At 46.6% G+C, this 16247-nt stretch overlaps 1 protein-coding gene across 21 annotated transcripts in view; it reads right to left on the bottom strand.

The window, feature by feature from the left end:
- Positions 1-16247, bottom strand: part of GRIK4 (glutamate ionotropic receptor kainate type subunit 4) — a 477159-nt gene that overhangs the window by 398333 nt on the left and 62579 nt on the right. For 5 of the 21 annotated variants that reach the window (NM_001440413.1, NM_001440416.1, NM_001440419.1 and 2 more), the window contains exons 2-3: positions 14670-14905; positions 14011-14186 (exon numbers count right to left, since the gene is read on the bottom strand). The exons of the other annotated variants lie outside the window; for them this stretch is intronic. The gene's annotated coding sequence lies outside the window, so the exon portion shown is untranslated. The remainder of the gene's footprint in view (positions 1-14010; positions 14187-14669; positions 14906-16247) is intronic. 21 annotated transcript variants of the gene reach the window in all.

Here is a 16247-nt window from a genome sequence, read left to right as displayed (position 1 = left end):
GTGCCAATTACATTCCAGGCACTGTGCTCAGCCTAGAAATACAGCAATAATCACAATGCTACGCCAGCAGCCGGGTGCACCTGGATGTCAGGGTGCAGGGAGGCATCGATAGGACTCATCTAGGGCTGCAGACCCAGGCCACCAGACTAACATGTAAGGCCAAGTGCTAGTTCCAGGTAAGAGAGCAGATTCTGCAAGACAATTTCATTCCAATTCAGACAAAGCCTGTGGCTGGGAGGAAATGTTCTGCCCAGGCAGAATGAATTCAGTGCTAAGGCCTGCAGGTGGAGGCCTCCTGGGGCCAGATGAGAGGAAGCAGAGGCAGGGGTAAGGTGTAAGGTCAAGGTGAAGGCAGGGTGTCAGGGGCAAGGTGCAGGGTCATGAGTAGGGTGCAGGGTCAGGGGTAAGGTGAAGGCTCTGGTTGAAACACTAAAGAGAAAGAAGAAAAAGGCAATGAAAGGAATCCTTCATGGATGAAAAACGCATTGAAACACACCCTCCTTCCCAGCTCCAGACCTTGGCCTTGGACACAGCTATGTCCTTGAACCAGCAGGATGCATGGGTCAAAAGCACTGAAAGCTGCCTCTGCCTCTCTTTGGCTGTGTTACCCTGCAACCCTCACCTCCCTCCCTGGGCCTCAGGGGATTGGGTCCAATGACCTTTGAGGTCCTTTCCTGCTCTGGCCTTCTAGGAGTGAAGGGATAAAGAAGTGTGAAAATGCCAGCTGCCCAAGCAGGACTGTGTGTGTCCCTCTGGCCTTTTTGGCTATCAATACCTTTTAAATATATATGAAAAGAGACAAATGTGCCTGTCTCCTGTTGAGGCCGGGAATTGTGATGATAGGAGATGCTGGGCAGGCAGCGGGTGGTGAGAGACCTGAGGGTTCGGGGAGGGTTACGCTTTGCTTTCTGGGTTCCCTTAGGAGCCAAGGAATGCAAAAGGAATGCTCCCAGAGCAAACGGTGGCCGCTGGCTGAAGGATTTTGTTCAGATTTCCAACGTCCTGAGCCCTGTCCTGCAGGAGTTGCATCTAATTCAAGAGACTCGACTGCTATAGTGAGACACGGGTGGCCAGCAGCGTGGAGGTTCCGAGGGCTGAGCTAGCAGGAGTTCCCAAGCTTTATCTTCAGTCAAAAGCAGGTGTATCCAATCTGTCAAGCCCTCTCTAGAAAAGCCCTTGGCATTTAGATGGTGGCCAAGGTAGGATTTTGACTTCTCCTAGGAAGAAATAAGGGCTGTATACCTACAGCCTGCCAACTGCGTTATGGTTGGCCTAGGCAGTAAATTAAAACGATGTAGTGCAGCGGCTCTCAAGGTGTGGTCCCCAGACCAGCAGTGTGAGCATGAGTGTCACCTAGAAACGTGTTAGAAATGCAAATTCTTGAGCCTATTACAAGTTGTTTAGCCACTACTGCCTTCAGCTTGGCCTGCTTGGTGCATGTCACCACTCAGTTGAGGCCCAGAGGGCATCTGATTTTTCCAACCCTTAGCAGAGAAGGTAGTTCCATCCTGAGCAAAACTTCCTGGCAGTGTCCTGATACCACAGCCTCTCTGCACCATCTGCTCATAAAGCCTCCTCGTTATTTCTAGAATAAAGTCCCAACTTTCTTGACCTGAAAGCCAAGGCTCTTCTAGACTTTCCAGACCCAGCCAACATTTGCACTCTTAGCTCTACCCCCTATACCGACAGTTCTCAACTGGAGACACCTTGGCTACCCAGGAGACATGCAGTGAGTCTAGAATTGTGCTTGGTTATCACAAATTGGGGGCTACAGGGCGTGCTACTGGCATCTGGTGGGTAGAGGCCAGGGAGACTGCCAAACACCCTAGAGTACACAGGAGAGCACCCCCACAACAAGGAATTGTGCGGCCCAAAATGTTGAGAAGCCTGCCCTATACTATCCCCTGCCGCCAAACTCTTCCGTTCATTATTCCAACTGTGTGGTCCTTTGACTTACACCCTTGACCTCCTGGGATGCCTCCCGGCAGCCACCACCCCTCACTGAGTCCTCCCACAAACCCCACTTCTGCTGTCAGGCTTTCCTGACCAGTCTGGATCGCAGTAAGTCCCTGCTGAAAACCTACTCAAAAATTAGCCAAGGAAAGACCCTGTGTCGTGCCTGCGGTCTCCCCATCCCATTGAGACCATAGAGGGCCCACTGCATTGTTCCCTCTATGCCTGAACAGAGTAAGTACCAGGTATGTGCTGGGTGACTGGTGGCCAGGCAAAAAGGAAAGGAGTTGGCTGGCAGGATGATCACCTCTTCCTAAAACTCCCACTTCAAGAACACCATACTCCAAGAAGCCTCCCGCAAATAGATCTTGAACTGGGGTACTGAGAAACCAGAGGGCCAGAAGCTATTTCACCTCCTCCTGGATTCCGGGTGGCCCCAGGAGCGGGCCAAGCCCAGCCACACACCAGCAGAGACAGGTGCTCTGGACATCTCTGTCTCGTGCCCCTCTGGCCGCCCACACACCTGCCCTCCTGAATTTGCAGCCCACCCCCAGTCAGTGTGTCACAGCTCACAGTCTGGAGTGATAAATTCATGAATACAGTTTGACAAATCCCGGCAGCCAAGTGACTGACAGCGGTTTTCATACTGAGCCCTGCAGAGCTGGAATAATTATGCCATATCAGGATGGAATTAGAAAGATCTCTTAATAATGCAGCTAGTTGCTCCGGCAGTGGCATCCTTGTCCAACAAGGCCCTGCTCCTCCCACCCAATTCAAAAGGCAGCTCACTAGCCTTCTGGTGCCTGTGCCACCCCACAGACTTACTCAGCACCAGAGCTGACTGGTACCTGGCCAGGTAGTCCAGCAGGCCTAAAATCCCCAAGACTAAGCGTAGCTGACCACTGGCTGAGCCATGGCGAGGCTGGCCTTGCAAACGGTCTAGGATGAATGGGCTGGGCCTGAAAATCAACCCTAAAGAGCTCCTGACTTGCTCCCCTCACAAGTTACTGGTCCAAGCACCTTAACATGCCCATTCCTACCTAGAACTCCATTCTGGAGACATCATGATAATAATAACTACATATGTCTGACACTGTGCCAAGCGATTTACATATGCTATGTCATTACATACCATTATCCCTATTTTGAGTGTCACAGATTTTAAGTAACTTTTCCCAGGTGACACATGCAATAAATGGCAGAGCTAAGATTCAAACCCTGAGCTATCTGATCCAAAGCTCACGGTCTCCTTTCCATGTGACATTATAAGATTTTTTTCCATGTCAAAGTAGCTCCAAGTTTCCCTCCAATCACGTACTCACACTGGCCGCGGTGCCTTCCCCAGGGGCCTCTCACCCCGATTGTCGGTGTCGTTATATTAGGGCTTCTTTTCATTCCAGTTCCCCTTATATCATCTCTGCCTGGCTTTATAAAACAGCCCCATCATAAACATCAGCTTGATTACAAGCAGAGACTGCCGCCTCTAATAAATAAGCATGTGTAATGCATACAGAGAGAGAAAGAGACACCTCTATATTTTCAGTTTTGTAAAGACAAATCGCCTCGATTGTTTAATCAATAAAAATGCCTCTCTAACTCCTACTGTTATTACAAAGCAATTTCAGACAGAGCGAAGAAACAGCATCACATCTGTATTCCTGACAGGGTCTGATTAGGCCAATGGATGAGGCATCAGACCTGACACCAGTTCCCTGAAGGCCAGAATCTGGACCTCCCCTCACTACTATGCCTGGGGCAGCGCGACTGCAGGGCCTGATCCTAACCACACATCAGGAATGGAGAGGCTAAAGCAGGGAGAGGTTTCTCGGCACCCTGGGGCTTGATCAAATCAGGGATCCCTAGGGACAAACATACTCTCCAGGTCGGAGGAAGGGTCCCCTTGCTGTGGGACAGAGGGAAGGGAGACTACAACAGGAAGACAAGGTCACCCGAATGTCCCATTGTCACCTCTCACTTCCCATCCCAAGCACCGCTGAGTCCACACACTCGGCATCTGGCAGTAAAGGAGAACTCCTCGCTGATCTTCCTGTCTCCTCTAATTCACACCAAGGCCCTGGTGACCCACCTAAAACATGTCTCTGAGGAAGGAAGCAATAGGCACTCCCTTACAGCAGGCTTTTCATTAATTCCCCAGTGTCTATGTGGGAAAGTCCAAACTGCTCTCCCTAAATGAAGGCCCTTCCTGAACTGGCCCTGCTTTCTCTCCCAGCCTCATCGCCTGTCCTCCTCCCCATGCACCTTTCCCCCGGCTACTCTAAACTCTTTTCAATTTCCTCATCACCCTACACTTCATGCCCCTAAACCTTTGCATATTCTGGTACTTCCCCTGAAAAACCACCCCCTAGATTATCTCTTGGCAAACTCCTCTTCATCCTTCAAGACCCACTCACATGACCTCCCCTAAGGCTCTTCCCTACTCCCCCATGTACTCCACCCAGAGCTCCTGCTACAACTACAGCTCCATGGCTGTATTCAACACGTGTCCAAGTGTCAGCTCACACACCTGTCTGTGTATGCCAATGCTTTGCAAAATGCCTATCTCCAGCTCTTACCTCTGTCCTGAACTCCAGACTCATATGTCCAGCTGTCTCCTGGACACTCTTATGCCCCATGGGCATCTCTAAAACACAACTCTGAATTCCCAACTGCTAAAGGTGCTTCTCTCCAAGACCCTCCCATCTTAGAAATGGCACCCTGACCCAATCAGTTTCTCAAGCCAGAACTCAGTCACCATTAGTTCCTCCCCCTCCTTCATGTTCCACATCCAAAATCACACCTTGTCAATCCTTATCTCAAAAACGTATCTAGAGGAAGGATAGACTTTTCAACAAATGGTGCTAAAATGATTGGATACCCATTTGCAAAAAAAAAAAACAAAAACAAAAAAAGAACTTTAATCCATACTTCTCACCATATGCAAAAATAACTCAAACTAGATCAGAGTAGAAGAAAACACTTGTGATCTTGGATTAGGCAATACTCAGATACAATACCAAAAGTACAATGTATAAAAGAAAAAATAATAAATTAGACTTTATCAAAGTTAACTACTGTTCTTCGAAAGGCACTATTAAGAGAATGGAAAGGGCACGGCACAGTAGCTCACACCTGTAATCCCAGCTACTCAGGAGGCTAAGGCACCAGAATCGCTTGAACCAGGAGGCAGAGGTTGCAGTGAGCTGAGATAGGTCCACTGCACCTCGGCCTGGGCTACAGAGTGAGACTCTGTCTCACAAAAAAAAAGAAAAAAAAAAAAGAGAGAGAGAGGGAGAGAGAGAATGAAAAGAACTCAGAAGAATTTAAAGCATAGTCTCAAAGAGATATGTGTGTACCCATGTTCACAGCACCATTATTCACAATAGCCAAGTTGTGGAAGCAACCCAAGGGTCCATTGACAGATGCATGGATAAACAAAGTGGGGTATAAACATACAATGGAATATTATTCAACCTTAAAAAAGACGGAAAGTCTTACTGAATCTATTCCAAAAAATTAAAGAGGAGGGACTCCTCCCTAACTCATTCTGTGAGGTCAGCATCATTCTGATACCAAAACCTGGCACAGACACAACAAAAAAAGACAATTTCAGGCCAATATCCTGGATGAACACATTAACAGATGCAAAAATCCTCAACAAAATACTAGCAAACCAAATCCAGCAGCACATCAAAAAGCTAATCTACCATGATCAAGTAGGCTTTATCCCTGGGATGCAAGGTTGGTTCAAATCAATAAATGTAATTCACCACATAAACAGAACTAAAAACAAAAACCATATGATCATCTCAATAGATGCAGAAAAGGCTTTTCATAAAATTCAACATCATTTCGTGTTAACAACCCTCAACACACTATGCACTGAAGGAACATACCTCAAACTAATGAGCCACTGATACAGTTTGGATATTTGTCCTGCCCAAATCTCACTTGAAATGTAATCCCCAGTGTTGGAGGTGGAGCCTGGTGGAATGTGACTGGATCATGAGGGTGGATCCCTTGTGGTTTGGTGCTGTCTTCACAATAGTGAGTTCTCATGAGATCTGGTCATTTAAAAGTGTATGGCAACTCCCCTTACCTCTCTCTCTGTCTCTGTCTCTATCTCACTCACTCCCACTTTCACCATGTAACTGCCTGCTCCCTCTTCACCTTCCACCATGATTGTAAGCTTCCTGAGGCCTCCCTAGAAGCTGAGCAGATACCAGCACCATGCTTCCTGTAAAGCCTGCAGATCTGTGAGCCAATTAAACCTATTTTATTTATAAATTACCAGTCTCAGGTATTTCTTTATAGCAATGCAAGAATGGCCTAATACAGTCATCTATAACAAAACCACAGGCAACATAATACTGAATGGAGCAAAAGCTGGAAGCATTCCCCTGCAGTACTAGAACAAGACAAGGATGGCTACTCTCACCACTCCTATTAACATAGTTCTAGAAGTCTTAGCCAGAGCAATCAGACAAGAGAAAGGATCCCCACAGTCTCTGCTCAAAAGCTCCTAGAGCTGTTAAACAACTTCAGCAAAGTTTCAGGATACAAAATCAATGTACAAAATCAGTAGCATTTCTATACACCAACAACGTCCAAGATGAAAGCCAAATCAAGAGTACGATTCTATTCACAATAGCCACAAAAAGAATAAAATACCTAGGAATACAGCTAACCAGGGAGGTGAAAGATCCCTACAACAAGAATTACAAAACACTGCTGAAAGATATCAGAGATGACATAAACAAATGGAAAAACATTCCATGTTCATGAATAGAAAGACTCAATATTGTTAAAATGGCCATACTGCCCAAAGCAATCTACAGATTCAATGCTATCCCTATCAAACTACCAATGACATTCTTCACAGAACTAGGAAAAACTGTTTTAAAATTCATATGCAACCAAAAAAGTGTTTGAAAAGCCAAAGCAATCCTAAGCAAAAAGAACAAAGCTGGAGGCATCCTGTTACCTGACTTCAAACTACACTACATGGTTACAGTAAACAAAACAGCATGGTACTGGTACACAAAACAGAAACATAGACCAATGGAACAGAATAGAGAGCCTCGTCCTTACACCAAATACAAAAATCAACTCAAGATGGATTAAGGACTTAAATATAAAACCTAAAACTATAAAAACCCTGGAAGATAACCTAGGAAATACCATTCTGGACATAGGCATTGGCAAAGATTTCATGATGGAGACACCAAAAGCAACTCCAACAGAAACAAAAATTGATAAATGGAAACTACTTAAACTAAAGAGCTTCTGCACAGCAAAAGAAACTATCAACAGAGTAAACAGACAACCTATACAATGGAAGAAAATATTTGCAAACTATGTATCCAACAAAGGTCTAATATCCAGAATCTATAAGGAACTTAAATTAACAAGCAAAAACCAAACAACCTCATTAAAAAGTGGGCAAAGGACATCAACAGACACTTTTCAAAAGAAGACATATATGTGGCCAACAAGCATGAAAAAATGCTCAACATCACGAATCATTAGAGAAATGCAAATCAAAACCGCAAGGCGATATCATCTCACACCAGTCTGAATGGCCATTAAAAAGTAAAAAAATAACAGATGCTGCTGAGGTTGCAGAGAAAAGGGAACACGTATACACTGCTGGTGGGAATGTAAATTAATTCAGCCATTGTGGAAACCAGTGTGGCAATTTCTCCAGGAACTTAGAATTAACATTTGACCCAGCAATCCCATTATTGGGTATATACCCAAAGAAATATACATTTTTCTACCATAAAGACACATACATGCATGCATATGTTCACTGAAGCACTATTCACAATAGCAAAGACATGGAATCAACCTAAATGCCCATCAACGGTAGACTGGATAAAGAAAATGTGGTACATATACACCATGGAATACTACGCAGCCATAAAAAAGAACAAGGTAATGTCCTTCGCAGCAACATGGATGGAGCTGGAGGCCATTATTCTAAGCAAACTAACATGAGAACAGAAAACCAAATACTGCATGTTCTTACTTATAAGTGGGTGCTAACACACTAATGGCAAAAACTGCAATTACTTTTGCACCAACCTAATAAATGCTGAATACACATGGACACAAAGAAGGGAACAACAGACAGCAAAGCCTACTCGAGGGCAGGGGGTGAGAGGAGGGAGAAGACTAAAAACTACCTATCAGGTACTATACTTATTACCTCGGCGATGAAATAGTCTGACCACCAAACCCCCATGACATGCAATTTACCTATATAACAAACCTACACATGTACCCCTAAACCTAAAATACAAGTTTTATATATATACACATATATACATACGTATAATGTATATGTATATATATACATACTATTTAAAAAAAAAAAAAGAAACAAAGACTGTTATTACTTTTCAGGCCTGGGTATCTGAATGGCCCTATAGATGCTCATGGTAGAAGAAACTTCTGTTAGGTTCTTCTCAAGCCTGCCTACAAACTATTCTTAGTGTGAAAAATCTTCCATTCAGGCTGGGCGCGGTGGCTCATGCCTGTAATCCCAGCACTTTGGGAGGCTGAGGCAGGCAGATCACGAGGTCAGGAGATCGAGACCATCCTGGCTAACACAGTGAAACCCCGTCTCTACTAAAAATATTAAAAAGTTAGCCGGGCGTGGTGGTGGGCACCTGTAGTCCCAGCTACTAGGGAGGCTGAGGCAGAAGAATGGCGTGAACCCGGGAGGTGGAGCTTGCAGTGAGCCGAGATCACGCCACTGCACTCCAGCCTGGGCAACAGAGCAAGACTCCGTCTCAAAAAAAAAAGAAAAAAAGAAAAATCTTCCACTCACTGAAATAAAACAGTACATGATGAACTATTCAGAAAAAAAAAAGGAAGGAAATTCTGACACATGTTACAACATGAATGAACCTTGAGGACATTATGATAACTGAAATAAGCCCGTCGCAAAAAGGCAAATGCTATATGAGTCCACTTACATGAGGTATCTAGAGTAGTCAAATTCACAGAGACAGACAGAATGGTGTTCTCTAGGAACCGAGGGGAAGAGGGAATGAGGAGTTGTTATTTAATGGGTACAGAGTTTCAGTTTTGCAAGATTGAAAGAGCTCTAGAGACTGATTGCACAACAACATGATGGTACTTAACACTGCTGAACTGTACATTTAAAATGGTTGAGATAATAAATTTTATGTTATGTGTATTTTACTACAATTAAAAACAAGAAACTACAAAATCTGGACCATCAAACTAAGATTCTCCAAGAGGCTGTCTTCTGAAACCGTTCTCTAAATGACAGTAAAGGAAGTGTCTGTGTCAAGGAATTACATATGTTTTAATCCTTGCTCTATTTTCATAAGTATACTTGGTCTTGTAATTTAAAGAAGACAGAGAGAGAGAAAATGAAAAGACAAGCCATAGACTGGGAGAAATTATTTGCAAATCTCACATCTGATAAAGGACTTGTATCTGGAATATATAAAGAACTCTCAAAATGCAATAATAACAACCAATATAAAAATGTACAAAAGACTGAAAGATACTTCACCAAGAAAAGATACAGGGTTGGCAAATAAACAGATGAAAAGACACATCTTAAGTCGCTAGGGAAATGCAAATTAAAACTACCATGAGATACAACCATACGCCTCATAAAACGGAGAAACAAAATTTTTAAGATTTGTTTTAAGGATAATACTAGTGAGGATGCAAAGCAACTGGAACTCTCATGCGTTGGTGATAGGAAGGGAAAATGGCACAGCCACCACAGAGATCAGGTTGGCAGCTTCTTAGGAAGCTAAACATACACTTACCATATAGAACCCACACCTAAGTATTTACCCTAGAGAAATGAAAACTTAGGTTCACATCAATGTCTGTACTCAAAACCGGGTGCAGTTGCTCATGCCTGTAGTCCCAGCTACCGGGGAGGCTGAGGCAGTAGGATCGCTACACCCTAGGAGGCAGAGGTTGCAGGGAACTATGATTGTACCACTGCACTCCAGCCTGGATGACAGAGCAAAACCCTGTTTCTAAAAAAAAAAAAGAAAGGAGGCCAGGCATGGTGGCTCACACCTGTAATCCCAGCACTTTGGTAAGAACAGATCACTGAGGTCAGAAGTTTGAGACCAGCCTGGCCAACATGGAGAAACCCTGTTTCTACTAAAAGTACAGAAATTAGCTAGGCATGGTGGTGTGCACCTGTAATCCCAGCTACTTAGGAGGCTGAGGCAGGAGAATCACTTGAACCCGGGAGGTGGAGATTGCAGTGAGCCAAGATCGCGCCACTGCACTCCAGTGTGGGTGACAGAGTGAGACTCTGTCTCAAAAAAATAAATAAAGAAAGAAAGGAAAGAAAGAAAGAAAAAGAAAGAAAGAAAGAAAGAAAGAAAGAAAGAAAGAAAGAAAGAAAGAAAGAAAGAACCCTTGTACTCAAATGTGTAGAACAGCCTTATTTGAAATTGTCAAAAACTGAAAACAATCCAAACGTCCTTCAACGGGTAAATGAATAAACAAACTGGCATTTCTGCACAATGGAATACTATCCAGCAATAAAAAGGAATGAACTACTCACATATGCAGCAACATGGATAAATCTCAAATACATTATGCCAAGTGGAAGAAGCCAGACTCAGAAAGCTATATACTATGTGATTCTATTTATATGACATTCTGAACACGATCAGTGGTCGCCAAGGGTGGGAGGTGGGGAGGGAGTGTGACTGCCGGGGGTGTGGGGGAATTTGGCAGGTGACGGAGATGTTCCATATCTTGATTGTGGTGGTGGTTACACAACTCAGGACTTTGTCAAAAGTCATGGAACTTTATGCTAAACGGGGAATTTTACTGTGTGTAAAACATACCTTAATAAAAACCTGAAACTGTACAGATCGGGACCCGCCCACACATGTCTGTTGCCTCCAAGGCCATACTATGTCCAAGCCTCTGTCAGTTCTCACCCAACCTACAGCTACTCATGGCTTAACTCTTCCTCTCCTATGATTTATCCTTTATAAGCTGTCAAAATAACTTTTTCAAATATAAATCATACTGTCACTCCCCTGCTTAAACTCCTCCAAAGTGATCTTATTTTAGAATAAAATCCAAATTCCTTCCCTGGCACACAAGGCCAGCATGCTTCTCTGACCTCCTCTCATTCCGCACCCCTATGTCCACCCTGGCCATCTGTCCATTCTCTCGAAGACACTCACCCTGTCCCCACCTTGCTACCGCCTTGTTCCCCTTGCCTGGAAGGCTCTGCCCTGAACTCTGTGTGGCTGGCTCCTTCTGAAAGGGGCTGATATAAGTGTGGTCTCCTCAGTTCACCCTACAAAGCACCTGCCCCCATCATTCCGCACCCCCACGCCTCATCCATCCAAAAAAAGGGGGGGGGGTTATTTTGTCGTGTGCTGTCACTTCCCAATCATCCTTGTTTATGGCTGGCTGTCCCCACTCCACCATCATGCAGCCTTGTTCACAGCTGGATCCTCAGTGCTGGGACAGGGCCTGGCATACAGTGGATGCTCAATAAATGCCACTTGGGCTGGACTATCATATTCAGGTAGGAGTATGCCTCCAAGCCTTCCTGGGCACTCACAGAGGGATAGTGTATGGCTTCCACGTGGCAGAAGCATGGCCCTGCCTGCAGGAACTCCCGCCTCAACCCCCGCTACTTAACCCGCAACTTCTGACAGCTGGTTAGCAGCAGAGTCAGGGCTCAAACCCAGCCACCCATGGGGCTGGAGACAGTTGCAACCCTCCCCACCTCCGTCTCTGAGTATTTGTGGAGATGAGCCAAGTGAGGAAGCGGGACGACATAGCAGGGTGTTACCAGAAACCAGGGGCCGGGCGGGGCGTTCGCCGGGAGGGGAGACCACTGGCCAGCTGGGTGCAACCCTCAGCTCTGCCTGACTCCAGCTCCCAAGGCCGAGGGGCAGTGGCTGAGTGGCTGTTGGGATTCGGAATCCAATTCCACCAAGTTGTACTGAGTGCCAAGCATGTGTCTGGCACTGTACTAAGCATCCGTGTATCCCCCTCTATGGAAGGGAGGGAAGGTGGAACATGGACTTACTGGATGCCCTGTATGTTCTAGAAGCTTCAGCTGTGTTACGTGTAAGGTTGCAATGGTATCCTCATTTTTATGGGACCTCACAGAGGTCATGCATGTTGTGTGTGGCAGAACCTCTTGGTGTCCACATCTATGGCTATTTCCCTTGCACACCTAGGAGCAGCTCTAAACTCCAGCTTCTTGGGCAGCACTGATCCAGCATCTCAGCCCAAGGGCCCCAAAGGATCCCACTGCTGTTGTAACTTCTCACCTCCCCTTTCCTCTCCCTAGGCTGTGCCCACATCTATCCCTCCATGTTCTCATTTCCTGTCACCTATGGGTAAAGACACACAGCTGAGATCAACTTCAACCAAACAGCCCAGCCCCAGGGGAGGCAACAGGTGCCCTTCTACTTCCCTGCCCTCTGGTCGTGTTTCTCTCCTTCTCCCTGCCTTTGTCTCTCTGTTCATCTCTATGTCTCTGTCTCACGCATGCACACACATGCACACACACAGACACACAATTGCCACTACCCCTTTACCAACTCACTTCCTTCAACTGTCCAACTCACTCTGCTGAAAGGAAAGGACCCTGCCAGACCAAGGCTCTGAGAAGCCACTACAGGGGATGGAGGAAAGGAAGTCTGGGCTGTGGCTATGGTCCTGGGGCCGAGCTGAGAAATCCGAGCACTGCACAAGGGCTTGTGGCTGCGTAGATGCTGCTCCAACACCACTTTCCTCACTAAGCCCTCAGCCAGCTAAACACCCACCTGCCCCTGCCGCCAGCAGGGAAGGGCTCTGTCCAGCAGATACTCTGGGCCAGCTCAGCAGCTGCCCAGTGGTATAATTGGGGAGGACTGAAGACAGGAGGGCAGGGATTGGCATAATTTCATGTCTGGCCTTTCCCAACGAAAGGCAAAATGACTCTGTGATCCCCTGGCTCTCTAAATTAGCTGCATTTTACAATCCCTCTGCCTGGCAGGAAATGTCCCATTAAATCTTAATGATCTGCCTTCCAAGAAACTCCCCAGCCCCTTTGGCCCCTGAAGGACACCTAGCCCTGGAAGATCAGGTAAGAGGCTAGTGGAGAAAAAGGAAAAGACGAACCCCCCGAGATGGTGTCTGGAATGGGCTCCCATCCACCTTTATTGGGCAACTGCCTTCAGAACCAGAAGAAGCCCCTTCTAACCCAAGAGATCTCCATCATCCCACTCTTCCCATAGGACTTCTGCCCTCCACACACCCCTCTCAGGCCACAGTCCACTCACCCCCTCAGAAACCCACCTGGCTCTCCTCCACCCCATGCTCCACATGTCTCTAGACCACAGCAACTCCACAGGATGCAAGTTCAGGACAGCACTGTGCCTGCCCCGCCTCTCCACATATGCACCAAGGTGAGGACAGAATCTTTCCTTGAAAGAAACATGCCATATGACCTTCAGGATTATTCAAATATTAACCACCTGGATAAACAGTTTCTCTTATATTCTCATTATCACCTTTCTTGCTGAAGCCAGCTAAAGCGCAATATTTCTCTTTTATATCCAGCGGAGAAGATGCTTCTGGTGACTCCTGGGGAGAGGGGAAATACGACAAGAAAGTGAAGGAAAGCGCAAGCTTAGGAGAACAGGGAGCTGAGTCCTTCCAGCTCCCCACCCCGACTCAGGCAGGAGCTAAGGCAAGACCTTAACCAGAAGGCTGGAGGTCACCCAGAACCAAACATTAGCCGGCCATGTCCCGGGCCCAGCACAGGCTGGTGGTCATAGAGGGGCCTTGGGAACACAGGCTCCTCTATGGGGATCTATCCAGCTCCCAGAACTCCTAGCATGACCGTGGCCTTGTTACCTCTTGGGCCCTCTCTGAGGGCACTGCCACCTGCCCCTGTCTAGGGTGGCTGCCCATGACCATCACAGCTGTAAGCAGAGCTCTTCATCGACATTGCATTAAACACTACACATTCTTGGCTGAGCCCTTTCCTTCCTGTCTTTATTCTCTCTCATCCCACCTTACCTTTGGCCTCCATCCGCCCAGGTCATAGAAAGCTAAGCGCAGGTGTGTGGATCCCTCTCTTGCTTCTCCCATCACCCCTAGCCAGCAAAAGGTCCCACCAGTCAAGAGCAGCTGTACTCTTCTCCAAGCCCAGGAGGGGAGCAGAAATGGGGGGTCTTCCTGAAGTCTAGCGTCACCTGGCAGAGAAGACAAATCTATCACCTATTTTCATGTTTGCAACCAATTTTAAAGTTATCATTGTGGATTCTTAAGATGTCAACTATGAGGAATCCTATTGTCCTACTAATTAATTCAACAATCTCCCTGAAATAATAGGAGTTGTAATTGTAATTCCAAACTCACCCCTCGACCACTGGAATCAACTAATTAAACAACAATCAGCCAGCAATGGGCTTTCATGGGGAAGATGGACTATTCCTTTTTATAGCTGCAATTAGGCGACACATTCAATAATCAGAATGAAATACAAATTTACCCAGGAGCCCAGTAAATTATGGCCACTCACACTTTGTTTTCCTATGGTTGCCTCCCAGAAAATAAAAGGGGCTGCATCTTCCAGCTGCATGCAGCAGGATGCCGTCTGGATGGCATTTTTTTTTTTTTCAGAGACAGGATCTTGCTCTGTTGCCTAGGAATTTAGTGGTATGATCATAACTCACTGCAGCCTCGCACTCCTGGGCTCGAGTGATCCTCCTGCCTCGGTGTCCCAAAGCACTGGGATTACAGGCACATGCTACCACGCCTGGCCTTGGATCGTCCTCAAGCGCTCCTTGCGATCCCTCCCCAACACCAGGGGGCTTTCTGCTGCTTGGTTCATAAGCACAAGGAGAAGAGAGGAGGGGGCCGCCAACATCTGTAGGGACGCCCAGCAGGAAGTCAGAGTGACCTGTGGTTTCTGGAGGGAGAATGGGGCAAGAGCAGGAGTCAGTTCTACACTTGTGCCTGGGTAGGTATGTGAGGCACATGCCCCAAACCCACGCACACACCCCAAACCCACACCCACACTCTAAGTAGCACACCCCATTCAGCGGCGGCCAGCACCTGCCCAGATGCACAGTGGAAAGAAAGCTCTTTGCATTTCTTGCAAAATGTTCTGTGGGGTGGAGGAGGCCTGGAAGATAGATGGTGAGAGGACCCGTGCGCCAGAGGGAAGAGAAGTAAAACGACGCAGACAAGTTCCATGAAGAGCCACTGAATAAGGTGTGAAAATTAAATCAGGTAAAAAGGCTGGGCAGGGAAAGGGGAGGGAGGCCTGAGATGATAAATGGAAAGATAGTAGCACCAAGGCACCATGAGCCCGCCACAGACTGAGCTAAGTGGAAAACGTGTGCTCTTCAGAATTCGCCAAAATGCTCGTGTCCTCAAAGGGAGGGAGCGAAGGATCCCAGCATGAACGTGCATAACTGAACCACCTCCACCAGTCTACCTCAGGCATGGCGGGCACAACAGGGTCCTCTGGAGCTGAGAAGCCTGATGAGCAGGGAGCCCATTCTTCTCTTCCCAGAACTCTTAGAAGGCTATGCAGGATGCATTCTCAAAGCATGACACAGCTTTAGGAGAAATGCAAATGAAGGGAGTTCTTTGCAGAAGATATAGTCTTTAGTTCCCATGTCCTCAATGTTAGACATTCCTTGAGGTCAGGGGTCCCTTTCCTGTCACTCGGTGTAGACTCAGGCATATAGTAGGTGCTCAATGAATTCTTATTAAACAGAGATGCCTGGGTCTGGGACACCTCTTGGCTCAGTGGACACTGCAGGGAGACACAGAGGAAAGCGCCTCCCCTCCCCACAGACTGATGGAATGCTTCTGTAGACACAAAGTGATGCTGTAAGAATTGGTTCATTCCTTCATTCAAACACATTTATTGAGCATCTACTCCATACCAGCTGAGTGCCTGGCACCACGGGTTCAATAGTGAACAAGACAGATGTAGCCCCTGCCCTTACAGATCAGGGAAGAGACACAAGTCATCAAAAGCCAGGAAGTATCAAAAATGCAATGTTATGGAGGTAGAGGGTGTTGGCCTTCCCAAAGGAGAAGACATTCAAACAGAGGCCTGAAGAATGAAGGAGAGTGAGCCAGGTGCTTCCGTGTCCTCATGTGCAAAAAGGGAGTAAAACAGTGCCCGTCTCATAGGACTGTTGGGAGAATTTAAGAGACCATATACGTAAGGTGTCACCACAGCCTCTGGTACTGTGACTTGTTTGCTATTTTGGCTATTATTGTTATGATCATCC

This window comes from Homo sapiens, chromosome 11 (genome assembly GCF_000001405.40).
Source record: "Homo sapiens chromosome 11, GRCh38.p14 Primary Assembly".
NCBI classification, from domain to species: Eukaryota; Metazoa; Chordata; class Mammalia; order Primates; family Hominidae; genus Homo; species Homo sapiens.
The sequence above is the reverse complement of the archived record's forward strand: the minus strand, read 5'-3'. Positions and strand labels throughout refer to the sequence as shown.